Source organism: Homo sapiens, chromosome 1 (assembly GCF_000001405.40).
Source record: "Homo sapiens chromosome 1, GRCh38.p14 Primary Assembly".
In the NCBI taxonomy this organism is placed as follows: domain Eukaryota; kingdom Metazoa; phylum Chordata; class Mammalia; order Primates; family Hominidae; genus Homo; species Homo sapiens.
Window position 1 is genome coordinate 179,402,063 of NC_000001.11, and position 22,092 is coordinate 179,424,154.

Below are 22,092 nucleotides of genomic sequence, written 5' to 3' on the forward strand. Positions count from 1 at the left end.
TCAAGAGGCTGAGGCAGGAGAATTGCTTGAACCTGGGAGGCGGAGGTTGCAGTGAGCCGACATCATGCACTCCAGCCTGGCAACAGAGCGAGACTCCGTCTCAAAAAAAAAAAAAAAAAATCACCCTGTCTTGGGTATGTCTATCAGCAGCATGAAAATGGACTAATATGTAACATGAGATACTTTATTCAATTTTTGCCTACTCTATATACTACTTTTTTCTGTAGTATAACTTTCTTGTTTTTCGAGGTGACTTCTATACTTAGTCTTCTATCCTTATACCTTCAATCCTACCTTTCCACCCTCTTTATAAGCTGATGATCTTGCTTTCTAAGAAGTAGAAGCAAACAGAAGAGAACTTAAGCTGTCACCCCCACATCTATCCACCCACCTGCATCTGTGCTTATATATTCCGTTTTCCCTTTTGTTAACTATAGTCTGCTCCTTTCTAAGGCCAATCTCTTGTTTGTATACTTTCATATCCCCTGTTACTTACTTGAGAAACTTGCAGCAAACGTTCCTTCTCTTTTTTGCATCATTAATTTTTCCCTCTCTAGCTGATTAATCCCATCAGTATGCAAATATGCTATAATTACTCCCATCTTAAAAACAAAAAACACAAACAAAAATGTCCCAGGTCTCTTAGAACTACACCTTCCCTTCCTGCTATGGTCCCTTTTCTCTGCTCTCCTTACAGGAAATCTCTACAGAAAGTTGTCATACTCATTGTCTTTATTGTTTCTTCTCTTGCCATTATCACTTGTGTCTCATCCTTACCATGCCACTAAATGGCACTTGACAAAGTCACCTATGATCTTCATATTGCTAAATCCAATGATCAATTCTCATTTCACTTGCCTTACTAGCAGCATTTGTCACAATGGATCAGTTAATCTTACTTGAAACAGTGTCTTTCAGTATACAGTCGACTGTTGAACAATGTAGGGGTTAGAGACACTGAAACCCACATAGTCAAAAACCTACATATAACTTTTGATGTCCCCAGAACTTAATCACTAATATTCTATGGTTGGCTGGAAACCTTACTGATAAACAGTCAATTAACACATATTTTGCATGTTATATATATATTATATAATGTATTTTTACAACAAAGTAAGCTAGAGAAAAGAAAATACTAAGAAAATCATAAGGAAGAGAAAATACATTTATAGTACTGTACTGTATTCATTGATATTGTACATTTACATCATCTGTTTACAAGACGAATTTGTCTGTCAGAAATGGTGGGTAACTACAACTGCAGACCTGAATCTACAGTACATATCAAGCATTTAATTTTTCTTGTGACATCATGACTCTTCTCTGCTTCTTGGTTGTACTTTCAGCATTACTACTGACACTTCGTATAGGTACCATGGTGTTATTCAAGGTTTATGTTACTGTACTAAACGTGATGGAAATTACGTGAAAACTGGGAGAGATCACTTTTTACTGCAATACACAATTGACTGGAGATACAAACTACTCATGCAGTGATGATTACATTATATGGTACTTTATTTTTTGAGACAGAGTCTCGCTCTGTCGCCCAGGCTGGAGTGCAGTGGTGCAATCTTGGCTCACTGCAGCCTCCGCCTCCTGAATTCAAGTGATTCTCCTGCCTCAGCCTCCTGAATAGCTGGGATTTCAGGCATGTGCCACCACACCCGGCTAATTTTTGTATTTTTAGTAGAGACAGGGTATTGCCATGTTGGCCAGGCTGGTCTGGAACTACTCCTGACCTCATGTGATCCTGCTGCCTCAGCATCCCAAAGTGCTGAGATTACAGGCATGAGCCACTGCCCCCGGCCTACATCGTGTTTTAAGTGGATATTTGAGCTCACTGCAATAGCAGCAGAAGGTGGCTACAAAAGTATTACAGTAATACCGTATGTACTGTAGTTAATTTTATTCAACTATGATTTAATACTGTACCTGTACATTTGTTAACATTTCTCTTGACTATGAATGTGCCATGTATGGTCTGTAAGTGTTTGTGTAAGTTTTGATAAATTTTAGCTTTTTATAATACATTTTATGGTAGTAAATGATAAAATAGACCAGTATCTACGTGTATTTTATCTATTCATGACATTGCTAACTTTTCTTCATTTTTTGATATTTCTAGGCTGTGTTCATCTGTGAGCTTTTTCTTTGTCTTTTTTTTTTTTTTTGAGATGGAGTCTCACTCTGTTGCCCAAGCTGGAGTGCAGTGGCACAATCTTGGCTCACTGCAACCTCTGCCTCCTGGGTTCAAGCAGTTCTCCTGCCTCAGCCTCCTGAGTAGCTGGGAGTACAGGCATCCGCCACCACACCCAGTTAATTTTTGTATTTTTAGTAGAGATGAGGTTTCACTGTGTTGGCCAGGCTGGTCTCGAACTCCTGACCTCAGGTGATCCCTCTGCCTCGCCCTCCCAAAGTGCTGGAATTACAGGTGTGAGCCACCACACCTGGCTGAGCTTTATCAAGTTGTCACAAATCTCCAAAAAATGTTCAAATATGTTTATTGAACAAACTCCTTGCATCCCCAGGATAAATCCCACTTAATCATGGTGTATTATCTTTTTGATATGTTGTTGGATTTGCTTTGCTAGTATTTTGTTGGAATTTTTGCATCTAAGTTCATCCATGATATTGGTCTGTAGTTTTCTTTTTTGTTGTTGTGTCTTTGTCTGGTTTTGATATCAAAATAATGTTGGCTTTGCAGAATCAGTTAAGAAGAATTCCCTCCTCTTCAATTTTTTGGAATCATTTGAGAAGAATTGGTGTTTATTCTTTCTAAGTTGTGTACAATTCAGCAGTAAAGCCATTTGGTCTTGGGCTTTGCTTTGTTGGGAGACTTTTTTTTTTTTAATTATACTTTAAGTTCTGAGATACATGTGCAGAATGTGCAGGTTTGTTACATAGGTATATATGTGCCATGGTGGTTTGCTGCACCCATCAACCCATCATCTAGGTTTTAAGTCCCACATGCATTAGGTATTTGTCCTAATGCTCTCCCTCCCCTTGCCCCCCAACCCCCAACAGGCCTGATGTGTGATGTTCCCCTTCCTGTGTCCATGTGTTTTCATTGTTGAACTCCCACTTATGAATGAGAACATGCGGTGTTCGGTTTTCTGTTCTTGTGTTAGTTTGCTGAGAATGATGGTTTCCAGCTTCATCCATGTCCCTGCAAAGGACATGAACTCATCCTTTTTATGGCTGCATAGTATTCCATGGTGTATATGTGCCACATTTTCTTAATCCAGTCTATCATTGATGGACATTTGGGTTGGTTCCAAATCTTTGCTATTGTAAATAATGCTGCAGTAAACATACGTGTGCATGTGTTTTCATAGCAGAATGATTTATAATCCTTTTGGTATCTACCCAGTAATGGGATTACTGGGTCAAAGGTATTTCTGGTTCCAGATCCTTGAGGAAACGCCACATCGTCTTCCATAATGGTTGAACTAATTTACACTCTTTGGGAGACTTTTAATTACTGATTCAATCTTGTTACTCATTATTGGTCTGTTCAGGTTTTCTGTTTCAATTTTGTAGGTTTTATGTGTTCAGGAGTATATCTAGTTTCTTCTAGGTATTCCAATTTGTTAGTGGATTGTTGTTCATGATTATATTTCAGTGGTATCAGTTATATCTCTTTTTGTTTGTTTGTTTGTTTCTGATTTTATTTGCTTGAGTCGTCTCTCTTTTTTTCTTGGGTAGTCTAGCTAGAAGTTTATTGATTTTGTTTATTTTTTCAAAAAGTTAACTTTTTATTTTGTTGATATTTTGTAGTTTTTTAGTTTCTCTCATTTATTTCTGCTCTGACATTTATTATTTGTTTCTTTCTACTAATTTTGGGTTTTGTTTTTTCTCTCTTTTCTAGTTCCTGGAATAATAAACAATCATTAGGTTGTTTATTTGAAATCTTTCTGCTCTTTTGATATAGGTGTTTATTAATATGAACTTCCCTCTTAGCACTACTTTTGCATTATCCCATAGGCCTTGTGCTTCATTTGTTTCAAGACATTTAAAAATTTTCTTCTTAATGTATTTACTGACCCAGTGATCATTCAGGAGCATGTTGTTTAACTTCCACATATTTGTACAGTTTCCAAAGTTTCTCTTGTTATTAATTTCTAGTTTTACTTCATTGTGGTCCAAGAAGATACTTGATATGTTTCCAATTTTTAAATATGTATTGAGACTTATTTTGTGGCCTAATATATGGTCACTTGTGGAGAATGTTCCATGTGCTGATGAGAAGAATGTGTATTCTGCAGATGTTGGATAAAATGTTTTGTAAATTCCTGTAATGTCCATTTGTTCTAAAGTATTGCTTAAATCCAATGTTTCTTTGTTAACTTTCTGTCTAGATGATCTTTTGAATGCTGAGTGTAGGGTTTTGAAGGCCCCAACCATTATTGTATTAGCTTCCATCTGTCTCTTTAGATCTAATGTTTGCTTTATACATCTGGGTGCTCCAGGGTTGGGTGCATATATATTTAGAGTTGTTATATCCTTTTCCTGAATTGATCCCTTTATCTTCATATAATGAACTTCTTTGTCTCTTTTTATAGATTTTGACTTAAATTCTGATTTATCTGATGTAAGTATAAGTACTCCTGCTTGCTTTGGTTTCTGTCTGCATAGAGTGTCTTTTTCCATCTCTTCACTTTTAGGCTATATATGTTTTCGCAAGTGAAGTGAGTTTTTTGGAGGCAGCATATGTTTAGGTTGCATTTTTATATCCATTCAGCCAATCTATATCTTTTACATGGGGGAATTTAATTCTTTTATATTCAAGGTTATTATTGATAGGTGAGGACTTACTCCTGTCATTTTGTTAATTATATTCTGATTATTTTGTATAGCTTTTTCTCCTTTCCTCTTATTTTATTGTTTATCATTGCTGTTTGGTGGTTTTCTGTAGTGGTAACATTTGAATCCTTTCTCTTTTTTGTTTCTGCTCTACCAGTGAGATTTTTTACACTGATGTGTTTGCATGATGGTAGATATTGTCATTTTGTTTCTAAATATAGGACTACCTTCAGGCTGGTCTAGTGGTGATGAATTTCCTCAGTTTTTGCTTATCTGAGAAAGACTTCTTTTGTCCTTTACTTTTGAAGGATGACTTTGCTAGGTACAGAATTCTTGGCTAGCAGGGTTTTTTTTCTTTCTTTTTTTTTTTGTTTTGAGATGGAGTCTTGCTCTGTCACCAGAATGGAGTGTAGTGGTGTGATCTCAGCTCACTACAACCTCCGTTTCCCTGGTTCAAGCAATTCCCCTGCCTCAGCCTCCCGAGTAGCTGAGACTACAGGCGCGTGCCACCATGACCGGCTAATTTTTGTATTTTAGTAGAGACGAGGTTTCACCATGTTGGCCAGGATGGTCTCGATCTCCTGACCTCGTGATCTGCCTGCACTGGCCTCCCAAAGTGTTGGAATTACAGGCGTGAAACACTGTGCCTGGCCTCTTTTTTTCCTTTCAGCATTTTGAATATATCATTCAATTCTTTCCTGGCTTAAGGTTTCTGCTGAGAAACCCATTAGTCTAATGTGGATTCCCTTATGTGTAACTTGATGTTTTTCTCTTGCTGTTTTTAGAATTCTCCCTTTGTCTCTGACTTCTGACAGTTTGACTGTAATATGCCTTAGAAAATATCTTTGTGGGTTGACTGTCCCACAGTCAAATTTGGGTTGGGGATCTTTGAGCTTCTTGTATCTGGATGTCTTTATCTCTTGCAAGATTTGGGAATTTTCAAGCTATTAGTTTATTAAATAGGTTTTCTGTGTCTTTGTCCATCTCTTCTCTTTCCGAAACTCCCCAGAATAAAAAAAATTTGGTCACTTTATGGTGTCCCATATATCCACATAAGCTTTCTTCATTGTTTTCAATTCATTTCTCTCTCTCCTTTTTAAAGTCTGACTAGGTTTTTTCAAAAGACCTGTCTTCAAGGTCAGAAGAAATTCCTTCTTCTACTTGATATAGTCTATTGTTGAAGCTATCAAATGTATTTTTTATTACATTTATTGAATTCTTCAGTTCCAGGGTTTTTGTTTCATTCCTTTTTATGATACCTGTCTCTGTTGAGTTTCTCATCCAGATCATGGATTGTTTTCCTGATTTATTTGTGTTCTTTATCTGTGTGTCTTGTATCTCACTGGGTTTCTTTAATATCATTATTTTGAAATCTTTTTCAGACATTTTATAAATTTCCTTTCTGTTGAGATTGGTTACTAGATAATTATTTTTTCATGTTTCCTATGTTCTTACTTTGCTATCTGTGCATCTGATTTAATCGTCATTTTTTTCCAATTTTATGAAAAATTCTTTTTTTTTTTTGAGACAAAATCTCACTCTGTTGCCAGGCTGGAGTGTACTGGTGTGATTTCGGCTCACTTCAACCACTGCCTTCTGGGTTCAAGCTATTCTTCTGCCTCAGCCTCCCAAGTAGCTGGGACTACAGGCATGCACATGCCATCACACCTGGTGAATTTTTGTACTTTTAGTAGGATGGGTTTTCGCCATGTTGGCCAGACTGGTCTTGAACTCCTGACCTTAAGTGATCCCACCTCGGCCTCCCAAAGTGCTGAGGTTACAGGCATGAGCCACCAAACCTGGATAATTTTATGAAAAATTCTTTATAGAGATGGGGTTCACTGTATCCTCCAGGCTGGAGTGCAGTTGCATGATCATGGCTCACTGCAGCCTTGACCTCAATGCTCAAGCAATCCTTACACATCAGCCAACTGAGTAGCTAGACTACAGGTACACACTAGAGTGCCTGGTGCCTGGGTAAAATTTTTTTTTTCCCCTAAATGTGGTCTTACTATGTTGCCAAGGCTGGTCTCAAACTCCTAGGTTCAAGTAATCCTCCTGCCTTGACTCTTAAAGTGTGTTTTCTTTTTTTCTTTCTTTTTTTTTTTTTTTTTTTTTGCCAAAAATGACATTGGTATTTTGATAGGGGTTGCATTGAATTTATAGATTGCTTGGGCAATATATTCATTTTAATGATATGAATTCTTCGATTCACTAGTATGGTATGGCTTTCAGTTTATTTGTGTCATCTTCAATTTCTTTCATCAGTGTTTTGTAGTTTTTCTTGTACATATTTTTCACTTCCTTGATTACATTTATTCCTAGATGTTCTTTTTTGGTATCTATTATGAATGGGATGGCTTTCTTGATTTCTACTGGTTCATTGTTGGTGTATAGAAACACTACTGATTTTTGTATGTTGATTTTGTATCCTGCAACTTTACTGAATTTGTATATCAATTCTAGGAGTTTTTTGGTGCCACTTTTAGGGGTTTTTTAAAAAAATATGTAAGATCTTGCTGTCTGCAAACAGGAACAATTTGACTTCTATCTTTCTAATTTGGATGCCCTTTATTTCTTTCACTTGCCAAATTAGCTAGAACTTTATGTATTTTTTTAATAGAAATGAGATCAAACATTTTATAATTTTAGCATTTTGGTTTTTTCATTGTGTATTATAACATGAAGAAATTTCCCATGTACCAAAGTATTAAGAATATGATGTTTAGCCAGGTACGGTGGCTCATGCCTGTAATCCCAGCACCCCTGGGAGGCTGAGGCGGGCGGATCACTTGAGGTCAGGAGTTTGAGACCATCCTGGCCAACATGGTGAAACCCTGTCTCTACTAAAAATACAAAAATTAGCCAGGCGTGGAGGTTGCAGTGATCCGAGATTGTGCCATTGCACTCCAGCCTGGGGGACAAGAGCGAAACTCTGTTTCAAAACAACAAAAAACGAAACAAAACAAAAATAATATGATGATGTTTAATTATCTCCAGTGTTTTTTTTTTAAATCATAGAACTACATTATATTTTTATCTGTCTACTCTTTTGTTGTTGGACATTGAGATTGTTTCTGGATTTTTTGCTTTTACTGTTAAATTAGGGTCATTAATTCTCTTTTGATAATTGAGGTCTAATTTTTAGGCAATAAAGTGCACAAATCTTAAGAGTATAGCTCAGTGAATTTGTACATGTGTATTCACCTGTATAAGTTTTTTTTTATTATTTTGAACAAATGAAAGCCTCTAAGACTAGAAGAATTCTACTTCAGTGGACTAATTCTTATTGCAAAGTCCTTGGGAGGAAGTGTTTCAAAAGATTTGTGAAATGCTACTTGTTACGTTATAACTTCTATGTTTGTATTTACTTCAGGAGGTCTTTTAATTTTTCTGTCGCCCAGTCTGGAGTGCAGTGGCGCGATCTCGGCTCACTGCAACCTCTGCCCCCCAGGTTCAAGCAATTCTCCTGCCTCAGCCTCCCAAATAGCTGGAACTACAGGCACACGCCACCACACCTGGCTAATTTTTGTATTTGTAGAGACGAGGTTTCACCATGTTGGCCAGGCTGGTCTCAAATTCCTGACCTCAGGTGATCTACCTGCCTCGGCCTCCCAATGTGTTGGGATTACTGGCGTGAGCCACTGCGCCCAGCCAGGAAGTCTGTTAATTTTAAATGAAGCTTCAGTGTAAATTAGAAGGAAAAAGGTATGTTCTGGTAGACATAAAGAAACAATAGTTAAGAAAAAGCTGCTTTATTTAAGGTTTTAAAGGGTTAAGGGACAATTTTCTTTAATCTTGTACTAATTATGTATAATTAAAAATTTTAGTGGCTCACAATTATTGGACTTTGTACCTTTCATAAAGAATCTTAGGTCTGTGAGCAAACTTTGACAATAAAACTGTTAGGTTATTGTTACTTGTATGCTGAATTTTTCATTAGATATGGTGTTATTATACCATTGGAATATCATGTCAGAATTCTAGTGAAAAAATAAAGAATAAGATGAAAAATGTTTAGAGCAAGGAACAGTATATGAGATTTTTACTTTCATTAAGACTTTTATAAGATTTATAAATTAAATGTGAGTATTTTTCTTCTATTTCACTGTATATGTGTTATCAATATATTCAGCAATTATACCATAATTACCTTATGATGAGTTTTAAAGGAACACATTACCTATTTTAAAACAAATTTCTTTTTTAAAAAATATATGTGTCTATATTGTTAGTATAAATTAAATGAAGCTGTTTCTTAATTGTTTTTATAGAATAGTAGAAGAATATCATGACTTATATACATTACAAAGAGAAAGGATGGAGAATGATATGAAAAAGTTAGTGGCAGAAAGAGATATCTGGAGCTCAGCCACATATGAATTGGCCCTGAAGGTTAGTTCATCTGGATTCACAACTCACACTTCTTTTTTGGCTAAAGATTCATTCTACAGTTTTAAAATTTGTTTTTTTTGTTTTGTTTTGTTTTGAAAGAGTCTTACTCACTCTGTTGCTTAGGCTGGAATTCAGTGATGTGATCTCGGCTCACTGCAACCTCTGACTCTTGGGTTCAAGCAATTCTCCCACCTCAGCCTCTTGAGTAGCTGGGATTACAGGCATGAGCTGCCACACCCGGCCTGTTTTGCAGTTTTCAATAATCTAGACAAAGACTCAAAAAAATGAGGATGTATATTTATTGATGTATAATGTAACTTTTGTGGGCTTTGAAAAGGAAAAGTTGAATTTCTTCTTTTTATTCTTGCATTTGTTGGGCACATAGCTATTACACAATTAAGGGTCTTTTTTTTTTTAAGGGCAGAATCTATGAAATATGAACAAGTGTTCTTTTTCTGTTGTTTGGGAACATGTTAAAATTTTCAACTTTAATTTATACTAATAATAAAGTAGGAAAGGTGGTTCTTATCTCTTCATACAAGGTGACCATATTTGGATCACTGGATATCACACTCTGATTCTCTTTTTTTTTTAAAAAAACAGGGTCTCACTCTGTTGCCCAGGCTGGAGTATAGTGGTGAGTGGTGCAATCACAGCTTACTGTAGCCTTGACCTCCTGGGCTCAAGCAATTCTCCCACCTCAGCCTCTTGAGTAGCTGGGATTACAGGTGTGCACCACCACTCCTGGCTAATTTTTAATTTTTTGTAGAGATGGGATTTCTCTATGTTGCCCTGGATAGTCTTGAACTCCTAGGCTTAAATCATCCTCCTGCCTCAACCTCTCAAAGTGCTGGGATTACATGCATGAGCCACTGTGGCTGACCCACTCTCTGATTCTGTTTACCTTGGTACACAAGATGACAAATGAATTGAAATATGGTACACTGTGGACCATTATAGTAATACTTTAGGGAAATAGCAAAGTCACACAATATTCTATATTTCTAAAATATTTACTTGTTGGTTGCCTATTCTGACAACTGGGACTTCTAGGTACAGTGAATTTTGATCCTCAAAAGATTAAAAAATGAGTTCAGTTAAATTGGTTCACTGGTCTACTGGTGGCAGGTCACAGCGTTCTCCATGGAGATATACTGCATTAATGCATTAATACATCTGCATTAGAGCTCTGTATTAACCCTGCCACATGTAGTAGTTTGTCAGTTATTTGGAAGAAAATGTAGAAGGCATCCCTGTCAAGTGTCCTAAAGCTAGAGAGAAAGCTAATATACTAGATAGTGGAATCAAGGCTTGTTATTTAGGAAAGTTCATTTACTTACTAGAGGTAATTATTAGAAATCTAGATCATTACTGGGGACATGCTAGAGGCATTTCCATTCAAGAGAGGAGAAAGGATTTCTGCTATCACTGGAGATCCTAATTCAGTAATAACATGCAAATAAAATCAAGAGATATAACTACTTATAGGAAGCAGCAAAATCTCTTTAAAATTTTTTTTCCCACTGATTTCTTTAGCAAAAATTCCCAGTATATTGTTGAATAGAAGTGGTAAAAGTGAGTATTCCTGTTCTCAGTCTTATGGGGAAGACATTCTGCTTTCACCATTAAGTACAATATTTACTGTAGGCTTTCATATATACCCTTTATTGGGTTGTGGAAGTTCCCTTAAATTTTTCATTTGTTTAGAGTTTAATCATAAATAGGTGCTGTATTTAGTCAAATATATTTTCTGTGTCAATTGAGATTACTACATCTTGATTTCCTTTTACTTTATTAACATATTACATTGTTTTTAACACCTTTATTGAAGTACAATTGATATACAAAAAAAACAAATCCACACATGTTTAATATATTCAATTTGACATTGAACATTTACATACACTCGTGATACCCTCATGACAATCAAGGTAATAAACATATCCACATTAACTGTTTATATTTATTTTATTAATTAATTTTAAATTTTATTTTAGATTCAGGGGTACGTGTGCAGGATAGCTACATGGATATATTGTGTAAATCATAAGGTTTGGGCTTCCAGTGAGCCCATCACCCAAATAGTGAACATTGTATCCAATAGGTGAATTCTCAACTGTTGGTCCTTTCCCACCCTCCCCACTTTTGGAGTCACCAGTGTCTATTATTTTCGTCCTTGTGTCCATGTATACCCATTGTTTAGTTCCCACTTACAAGTGAGAACATGCAGTATTTGATTTTCTGTTTCTGAGTTTTTTCACTTAAGATAATTGCCTTCAGCTTCATCCATGTTGCTTCAAAGCATATAATTTCATTCTCTTTTATGGCTGCATAATATTCCATGGTATATACCACATTTTCTTTACCCAATTAATCATTGATGGACACTTCGGTTGATTCCATGACTTTGCTATTGTAAATAGTGCTGGAATAAACATATGAGTGCAGGTGTCTTTTTGATTAAATGATTTCTTTTCCTTTGGGTATATAACCACTAGTGGGATTGCTGGGTCAAATGGTAGTTCCATTTTTAGTTCTTTGAGAAATCTCCATACTGTTTTCCACAGGGGTTGAACTAATTTACATTCCCACCATAGTATATAAGTGTTCCCTTTTCTCTGCATCCTCGTCAACATCTGTTTTTTTTTTACTTTTTAATAATAGCCGTTCTGACTGGTGTGAGATGGTATCTCATTATGGTCAAAGTCACTATTATTTCCTGATAAAGCAATTATCTACCTAGCAAAGATAAATTTAAATATTATTTGAATTAATTAGCCTTTAATAATGTTGCTGAATATAAGATAAATATACAATTTTTTAACAAACATTGGGCAAATAATGCAGTTTTCTAACCAGAAAAAAATAAATTTAAACATTATTTGAATTATTTAGCCTTTAATAAAGGTTGATGAATACAAGATAAATACAAAAAAAAACCCAACGTATTACCTATATACAATAATAAACATTAGAAATGCAAAGAGGGAATAAATTTAATAAGAAGGGATAAGACCTGTATCTTGAAAACACTAAAACCATGGTAAAGAACTTAAAAGCAAACTAAAAGGAGAGCTGTATAGCATATCACTGGTTGAGAACAATAATCAATATTGTATAGATGTCAGTTCTCTCCAAATTAATCTTTATTTATTTATTTATTTATTTATTTTTTTGAGATGGAGTCTCGCTCTTTCACCCATGCTGGAGTGCAGTGGCATGATCTCGGCTCACTGCAGGCTCCGCCCCCTGGGGTTCACGCCATTCTCCTGCCTCAGCCTCCTGTGTAGCTGGGACTACAGGCGCCCGCCACCTCGCCTGGCTAATTTTTTGTATTTTTAGTAGAGAGGGGGTTTCACCGTGTTAGCCAGGATGGTCTCGATCTCCTGAACTCGTGATCCGCCCACCTCAGCCTGCCAAAGTGCTGGGATTACAAGTGTGAGCCACCGCGCCCGGCCAAATTAATCTTTAAATTTGATATAATTCCACTAAAAATCTCAGTAACAATTTTATTTTTAGGAATTTGGCAAGTTGTTTATAAAACCCATCTGGAAGAATCTGAATATGAGAATAATAAAACATTTTAAAAGAAGATTAATAAAAATAACTTGTACTTTTAGACATCAAAATGTATTATAAAGTCAAAGTAACTGAGAAAATGTGTTACTTGGTTAGAATAGATAAATACAACAGAATAGAATAGAAAAAGGTCAGAAATAGACTCACCTATATATGGGATATTCAAATTGGGTTGGCACAATCGATTATTCAATTGTTAAAAAATTTAGATTTCGGCTGGGCGTGATGGCCAATGCCTGTAATCCCAGCACTTTGGGAGGCCAAGGCAAGTGGATCACCTGAGGTTAGGAGCTCAAGACCAGCCTGGCCAACATGGTGAAACCCCATCTCTACTAAAAATACAAAAATTCGCTGGGCATATTGGCGGGTGTCTGTAGTCCCAGCTACTGAGGAGGCTGAGGCACGAGAATTGCTTGAACCCGGGAGGTGGAGGTTGCAGTGAGCCGAGATCGCACCACTGCACTCCAGCCTGGGCAACAGAGCGAGACTGCATCTCAAAAAACAAAACAAAACAAAACAAATTTAGATCCCGACCTCATTAAAAAGATAACTAAAAAGTAAATCCCAGAAGGGAATAATTAAATGTTAAAAACAATGTAATTATAAACATATTAGAAGAAATTACATGAGAATTTTCAAAAAAATAGTAGCTTTTGTGACATATAATTCACCCAATTAAAGTGTACAATTATATGTTTTTTAGCATGGTCGCAGAACTGTGAAACCATCACCACAACCAATCTGAAAACTTCTTCATTACCCTCAAAAGAAACTCCATACATTTTAGCAGTCGCTTCTCATTACCTCCAACCCATTCAACTTAGGTAATCATTAATGAACTTTCTTTTCTCTCCAGGGTACATCTTTTTTTTTTTCTGAGATGGAGTCTCACTCTGTTGCCCAGGCTGGAGTGCAGTGGCGCGATCTCTGCTCGCTGCAACCTCCACCTCCCGGGTTCGTGCCATTCTCCTGCCTCAGCCTCCCGAGTAGCAGGGTACATCTTATAATTTAATGCATTCATGTAGTTTGTAAAGATCAAATATGTGTACTTAGGATAGACATCATCTAAAATATTTGTCTTTTCTTTGTGGTAGATACATTTGATTTACTCTTTTCTAGCTATTTTAGAATGTGCAATAGATTGTTGTAAACTATAGTCAGTCTACCTATCTATCTAACACTAGGACTTATTTCTTCTGTTAAATCATATACTTGTACCCATTAATCAACCTCTCTTTATCTTCTCTCTCTCCTACCCTTCCTGGCCTCTGGTAACCATGAATCTACTCTCTATCTTCATGTGATCCACTCTTTTAGCTCCCACATGTGGATACTTGCAATCTTTGTCTTTCTGTGACTTGGCTTATTTCACTTAACAAAATGACCTCCAGTTTCATCCATGTTGCTGCAAATGATAGGATTTTATTATTTTTCAGTGGCTGAATAATATTCCATTGGGTTTATATACTGTGTTTTCATTATTCATTCGTTGGTGGGCACTTAGGTTGATTGCATATATTGGCTATTGTGAATAGTGCTGGTATCTTTTGATATACTGATTTTCTTTCTTTAGGACATGTACCCAGCAGTGGAATTAATTGCTGGATTATATGGTAGTTCTGGTTTTAGTTTTTTGAGGAACCTCCATAATGTTCTCCACAGTGGCTATACTAATTTACATTCCCACCAACAGCGTACAAGTGGAGACAAAAGTGACTCCATGTTGAATGCTAATGTGCCATATTGACTTCTGATTAGCCCCAGTCAAGTGAATGCCTCCTGATTTCTATTTACTTTTCTCAGTGTAAGAACAAAGCAACCTTGATGTTATCACATAAATTATAAGGCTATGATGCTTACAGCATTCTTGCCTGTTCTGGAGGGTTGCTTTTGTGTTGCACAAAACAAGCATACCCTTTCTTTATGGTATATAAGCCTTGAGCCTGGGGAGTAACAGTGCAGAGATCTACCTGTCTTGTGGCTACCCTAGACAATGCTTCTGTTAGTTTCCCCAATAAAACACCCTTTACCCACAAATTGGATTTGTCTGCCTTGGTTTTTGGTTTCTCAGCTCCTTCGGCATTTGGAAACTTCCTTGCATATACGGCCCTTTTATAGAACAGTTCTCCTTTCTCCACATCTTTGCAAGCATCTGTATTGCCTGTTTTTTGATACAATCCATTTTAACTGGGGTGAGATGATATCTCATTGTAGTTTTGATTTGCATTTCTTTGATGATTACTGATGTTGAGCATTTTTTCACATACCTGTTTGCCATTTGTATGTCTTCTTTGGAGAAATATCTATTCAGATCTTTTGCCCATTTTAAAATCAGACTATCTCCTCTTTTTTTTTTTTTGCTATTGAGTTGTTTGAGCTCCTTATAAATTCTGGTTGTAACTCCCTTATCAGATAGATAGTTTGCAAATATTTTCTCTATCTCTGTAGGTTTTCTCTTCACTTTGTTGATTGTTTCCTTTACCATGCAGAAGGTTTGTAGCTTGATGTAATTGCTTTTTCTTTCTTTTTGCTTTGGTTGCCTGTGCTTTTGAGGTCTTACACGGAAAATCTTTGCCCAAACCAATGTCCTAGAGTGTTTCCCCAACGTTTTCTTCAAGGAGTTGTTTTAGTTTCAGGTCTTAGAATTAAGTCTTTAATCCATTTTGATTTGATTTTTGTATATGGTGAGAAATAGGGGGTCTAGTTTTATTGTTGCATTGGTCTGTGTGTCTGCTTTTATGCCATTACCATGCCGATTTGTTTACTATGGCTTTGTACTAAATTTTGAAGTCAGGTAGTGTGATGCCTCCTGCTTTGTTCTTTTTGCACAGGATTGCTTTGGTTATTTGGGGCCTTTTGTGGTTCCATATAGATTTTAGGATTTAAAAAAAAAATTCTGTGAAGAATGCCATTGGTATTTTAAGAGGGCTGGCATTGAATCTGCAAATTTCTTTGGGTAGTATTGCCATTTAACAATATTAGTTCTTCCAGTCCATGAGCATGGAATATATTTCCATTTTTTATGTCTTTTTTTTAATCAGAGTTTTATAGTGTTCCTTGTATAGATCTTTTACTTCTTTTCCAAATTTAGGTATTTTATATTATTTATTGCTATTTTATTTTTATTTATTTATTTTTATTTTATTTATTTATTTATTTTTTTATTGATCATTCTTGGGTGTTTCTCGCAGAGGGGGATTTGGCAGGGTCATAGGACAATAGTGGAGGGAAGGTCAGCAGATAAACAAGTGAACAAAGGTCTCTGGTTTTCCTAGGCAGAGGACCCTGCGGCCTTCCGCAGTGTTTGTGTCCCTGGGTACTTAAGATTAGGGAGTGGTGATGACTCTTAACGAGCATGCTGCCTTCAAGCATCTGTTTAACAAAGCACATCTTGCACCACCCTTAATCCATTTAACCCTGAGTGGACACAGCACATGTTTCAGAGAGCATAGGGCTGGGGGTAAGGTCACAGATCAACAGGATCCCAAGGCAGAAGAATTTTTCTTAGTACGGAACAAAATGAAAAGTCTCCCATGTCTACTTCTTTCTACACAGACACGGCAACCATCCGATTTCTCAATCTTTTCCCCACCTTTTCCCCCTTTCCATTCCACAAAACCGCCATTGTCATCATGGCCCATTCTCAATGAGCTGTTGGGTACACCTCCCAGACGGGGTGGTGGCCGGGCAGAGGGGCTCCCCACTTCCCAGTAGGGGCGGCCGGGCAGAGGCACCCCTCACCTCCCGGACGGGGCGGCTGGCCGGGCGGGGGGCTGACCCCCGCACCTCCCTCCCGGACGGGGCGGCTGGCCGGGTGGGGGGCCGACACCACCACCTCCCTCCCGGACGGGGCGGCTGGCCGGGCGGGGGGCTGACCCCCACCTCCCTCCCGGACGGGGTGGCTGCCGGGCGGAGACGCTCCTCACTTCCCAGATGGGGTGGCTGCTGGACGGAGGGGCTCCTCACTTCTCAGACGGGGCGGCTGCCGGGCGGAGGGACTCCTCACTTCTCAGACGGGGCTGTTGCCAGGCAGAGGGTCTCCTCACTTCTCAGACGGGGCGGCAGGGCAGAGACGCTCCTCACCTCCCAGACGGGGTCGCCGCCGGGCAGAGGCGCTCCTCACATCCCAGACGAGGCGGCGGGGCAGAGGCGCTCCCCACATCTCAGACGATGGGCGGCCGGACAGAGACGCTCCTCACTTCCTAGATGGGATGGCGGCGGGGAAGAGGCCCCCCTCACTTCCTAGATGGGATGGCGGCCGGGCAGAGACGCTCCTCACTTTCCAGACTGGGCAGCCAGGCAGAGGGGCTCCTCACATCCCAGACGATGGGCGGCCAGGCAGAGAGGCTCCTCACTTCCCAGACGGGGTGGCAGCCGGGCAGAGGCTGCAATCTCGGCTCTTTGGGAGGCCAAGGCAGGCGGCTGGGAGGTGGTTGTAGCGAGCCAAGATCACGCCACTGCACTCCAGCCTGGGCACCATTGAGCACTGAGTGAACGAGACTCTGTCTGCAATCCCGGCACCTCGGGAGGCCAAGGCTGGCGGATCACTCGCGGTTAGGAGCTGGAGACCAGCCCGGCCAACACAGCGAAACCCCGTCTCCACCAAAAAAATACGAAAACCAGTCAGGCGTGGCGGCGTGCGCCTGCAATCGCAGGCACTCGGCAGGCTGAGGCAGGAGAATCAGGCAGGGAGGTTGCAGTGAGCCGAGATGGCAGCAGTACAGTCCAGCTTCAGCTCGGCATCAGAGGGAGACCGTGGAAAGAGAGGGAGAGGGAGATGGTGGGGAGAGGGAGAGGGAGAGGGGGAGGGGGAGGGGGAGGGAGACAGAGAGGGAGAGGGAGAGGGAGAGGGAGCATTTATTGCTATTTTAAATAGAGCTGCTTTCTTGATTTCATCTTCAGATTGTTTGCAATTGGTATATATAAATCCTACTGATTTTTGTATGTTGATTTTGTATACTTGAAATATATTGAATTTGTTTTTCAGTTCTAACAGGTTTTTGGTGGAGTCTTTAGGTTTTTTAAAGTATAAGATTATGTCTTTTGTGAATGAGGCTAATTTGATTTCTTTATTTTCAATTTAGATGCCTTTTATTTCTTTCTCTTGCCTAATTGCTCTGTCCAGGACTTCCAGGAATAAAAGTGGTGAAAATGGGCATCCTTGTCTTGTTCTAGATCTTAGAGGAAAGGCCTTTAATTTTTCCCCATTCAGTACAATGTTAACTGTGGGTTTGCCATATATGGCTTTCTTTTATTTTGAGGTATGTTTCTTCTATACTAAATTTGATGAGGGTTTTTATCATAAAGGGATGTTGAATGTTATCAAGTGCTTTTTCAGCTTCTATTGAAATGATGCTATGCTTCTTGTTCTTGGTTCTGTTAATGTGATGTATCACATTTATTGATGTGCACATGTTGAACCATCCTCATATCCCTGAGATGAATCCCACTTGATCATGGTGAATGATCTTTTTTAACATGTTGTTGAATTTGGTTTGCTTATATTTTGTGAGGATTTTTACATCTGTGTTCATCCATGATATTGGCCTGTAGTTTTCTTTTTTTTGTTGTGTTCTTGTCTGGTTTTGATATTAGGGTAATGCCTTATGAGTTTGGAAGTATTCCTTCCTTTTCAAATTTTTTGAAGAGTTTATGTTGAATTGATATTAGTTCTTCTTCAAATACTTGGTAGAATTCAACTATGAAGCCATTAGGTCCTGGGATTTTCTTTGATGGGAGACTTTGTGTTATGGCTTTGATCTCATTACTTGTTATTGGTTTATTGAGGTTTTCCTTTTTTTTTTTTTTCCATTTTCCCCCTGGCTGGAGTGCAGTGGCACAGTCTTGGCTCACTGCAACCTCCATTTCCCAGGTTCAAGCAATTCTCGTGTCTCAGCCTCCTGAGTTGCTGGGATTACAGGTGCCCGCCACCACACCTGATGAATTTTTGTATTTTTAGTAGAGACGGTTTCACCATGTTGGCCAGGCTGGTCTTGAACTCCTGACCTCAAGTGATCTGCCTGCCCCACCCTCCCAAGGTACTGGGATTACAGGCGTGAGCTACCATGTCCAGCCCTAGGTTTTCCAATTTGTTCATGCATAGTTGTTTGTAAGTCTCTAATGCTTCTTTGTATTCCTGTGGTCTCAGTTGTTACATCTTCTTTTTCGTTTCTTATTCTATTTGGGTATCCCTTCCTTCCTTCCTTCCTTCCTTCCTTCCTTCCTTCCTTCCTTCCTTCCTTCCTTCCTTTCTTCCTTCTTTGTCAAAGATGGTTGGCTATATATGCATGAATTTATATCCAGGTTCTATATTTTATTGCATTGGTCTATATGTCTGCTTTTATGCCATTACCATGCTGGTTTGTTTACTATGGCTTCGTAGTAAATTTCGAAGTCAGGTAGTGTGATGCCTCCTGCTTTGTTCTCTTTGCACAAGATTGCTTTGGTTATTTGGGGTCTTTTGTGGTTCTCTATGGTTTCCTTCCTTCCTTTCTTCCTTCCTTCCTTTTCTTTTTCTTTTCCTTTTTTTTTTTTTTTTTTTTTTTTTTTTTGAGACAGAGTCTTGCTCTTTCACCCAGGCTGTAGTGTAGTGGGGTGGCGTGATCTCAGCTCACTGCAACCTCTGCCTCCTGGGTTCAAGTGATTCTTGTGCCTCAGCCTCCTGAGTAGCTGGGAATACAGGTGTGCACCACCATGCCTGGCTAATTTTTGTATTTTTAGTAGAGATGGGATTTTACCATGTTGGCCAGGCTGGTCTTAAACTCCTGGCCTAAAGTGATCCACCTGCCTCGGCCTGCAAAAGTTGGGATTACAGGTGTGAGCCACCATGCCTGGACCTTTATCTTTTTTCTTATTTAGTCTAGCTAAAGCTTTATTGATTTTGCTTATCTTTTCAAAAAACCAACTTTTCAGCTGGGCGCAGTGGCTCACACCTGTTATCGTAGCACTTTGGGAGGTCAGAGTGGGTGGATCACCTGAGGTCAGGAGTTTGAGACCAGCCTGGCCAACATGGTAAAACTCTGTCTCTACTAAAAATACAAAAAAATTAGCCAGGCATGGTGGCAGGCGCCTGTAATCCCGGCTACTTGGGAGGCTGAGGCAGGAGAATCTCTTGAATCCGGGAGGCAGAGGTTGCGGTGAGCCAAGATTGTGCCATTGCACTCCAGCCTGGGCAACAAGAACGAAACTCCATCTCAAAAGAAAAAAAAAAAAAAAAACAGCAGCTTTTCCTTTCATTGATTCCTTGTATTTATTGTCTCAATTTTATTTATTTCTGCTGTTATCTGTATTATTTCTTTCCTTCTACTAATTTTAGGTTTGGTTTGTTCTTGCTTTTCTAGTTCCTTGAGGTGCATTGTTAGGTTATTTCCCGTCTTTCTATCATTTTGATATAGATATATCAAATATATAATTTATAACAATAAATTATAAACTTATCTGTTCATACTGCTTTTACTGTATCCCATAGATTTTTGTATGCTGTTTTTACATTTTCATTTATTTCAAGATGATTTTTCATTTTGTTCTTGATTCCTACATTGACCATTGGTCATTCCATAAAATGTTATTTAATTTCTGTGTGTTTATGAAGTATCCAAGTTTCTTCCTGTTATTGATTTCAAGTTTTATTCCATCATTGTGGTCAGAAAAAATACTCTATATGATTTCTACTTTTTTGAATTTCTTCAGACTTGTTTTGTGGCCTAAGATATGGTATATTCTAGAGAATGTTTCATCTGCTGACAAAATGAATGTGTATTCCTTAACAGATGGGTGAAATGTTCTGTAAATGTCAGTTAGGCCTATTAGGTCCAGTGTGTAGTTTAACTCCGTTTTTTGTTGTTGTTGATTTCTTGTCTGTCCATTACTGAAAAGAGTGTTAAAATCCCCCACTATTATTATATTACATTTTGTCTCTCCCCCTTTTTTTTTCTTTGAGATGAAGTCTCACTCTGTTGCCCAGGCTGGAGTGCAGTGGTGCAGTCTCGGCTCACTGCAACCTCCGCCTCGTGGGTTCAAGTAATTCTCCTGCCTCCATCTCCCAAGTAGCTGGGATTACAGGTACCTGCCACCATGCCTGGCTAATTTTTGTATTTTTAGTAGAGACAGGGTTTCACCATGTTGGCCAGGCTGGTCTCGAACTCCTGACCTCAAGTGATCCGCCCACCTTAGTCTCCCAAAGTGCTGGGATTACAGGTGTGAGCCACTGTGCCTGGCCATCTCTCCCTTTATATCTGTTAATGTTTGCTTTGTATAGTTTGGAGCTCCAGTGTTGGGCGTATAATTGTTACACCTTCTTTATAATTGTTATATCTTTTTGCTGAATTGAATCCTTTATAATTATATAGTAACCTTTTTTTTTTACAGTCTTTGATTTGTAACCCATTTTATCTGATATAAATATAGCTACTCCTGCTCTCTTTTGGTTTCCAATTGCATGGAATATATTTTTCTACCCATAAACTTTCAGTATGTATGTGTTATTATAGTTGAGTGGATTTTGTGTAGACAGATATTGTTGGGTCTTGTTGCTTTATCCTTTCAGCCATTCTGTACCTTTTAATTGGATAATTGAGTTCATTTACATTCAGTGTTATTATTGATAAGTAAGGATTTACTCCTTCCATTTTGTTGCTTTTTATCTTGTTTTATAACTCCTCTTTTCCTTTCTCACTGTTTTCCTTTGTGATTAAGTGGTTATCTCTGATATTATGTTTTAATTTGTTGCCTTTTTTTAAGTGAATCTGTTATAGGTTTTTGCATGGTGGTTACCATGAAGCTTACAAAAAACATTGTATAACAGGTTTTTTTAAAAAAAGAGATGACAATTTATCTTAGATTACAAAAAAAGAAAAGAAGCAAATAAAAAATGAAAAAAATACGCTTTAACTCTATTCTCCTCAACATTTTGACTTTTAGTTATTTGCATTTACATATTTGTATATATTAACCATCTCTTAACAAGTTGCTGTAGCTATTATTGTTTTTGATAGATTTGTCTTTTAGGCTTCATACTAGAGTTATGAGTGGATTACACACTACAGTTACAGTATTAGCATATTCTATATTTGTCTGTGTAGATCATTTTACCAGTGGGTTTTATAGCTTCAAAGTTTTTTTTTACATGTTGGTGTTTTTTTCTTTTAGATTGAAGAACTCCCCATTAGCATTTCTTGTAAGAGAGGTCTGGTGGTGGTAAATTCTCTCAGCTTGTGTTTGGGAAAGACTATCTCTCCTTCATATTTAAAGAACAACTTTGCTGGATATAGTACTCTTGGATAGCAGGGTTTTGTTCGTTTGTTTGTTTGT

The 22,092-nt window shown here is 38.2% G+C and overlaps 1 protein-coding gene across 23 annotated transcripts in view, besides 1 other annotated feature; it reads left to right on the forward strand.

The window, feature by feature from the left end:
* The window catches only part of AXDND1 (axonemal dynein light chain domain containing 1), a 189,031-nt gene that overhangs the window by 36,358 nt on the left and 130,581 nt on the right, over positions 1 to 22,092 (forward strand). For 22 of the 23 annotated variants that reach the window (XR_921742.3, XR_921741.2, NR_073544.2 and 19 more), the window contains one exon: positions 9,084 to 9,204. Coding sequence is in view for 20 of the 23 variants with exons in the window: in XM_011509168.2 (XP_011507470.1) it covers positions 9,084 to 9,204 (121 nt within the window). In the remaining 3 variants the exon portion in view is untranslated. Of the gene's footprint in view, positions 1 to 8,424; positions 8,518 to 9,083; positions 9,205 to 22,092 lie in introns of those variants that run through there. The other variant, XM_011509181.3, reaches the window with a different exon arrangement.
* Positions 15,846 to 16,645: an enhancer, noted in NCBI's record as "OCT4-NANOG-H3K27ac hESC enhancer chr1:179387043-179387842 (GRCh37/hg19 assembly coordinates)". NCBI's record gives its function as "activates a minimal SCP1, AML or CMV promoter by ChIP-STARR-seq in primed H9 embryonic stem cells {active_cell/tissue: H9 hESC(primed)}" and the evidence as "EXISTENCE:reporter gene assay evidence [ECO:0000049][PMID:30033119]".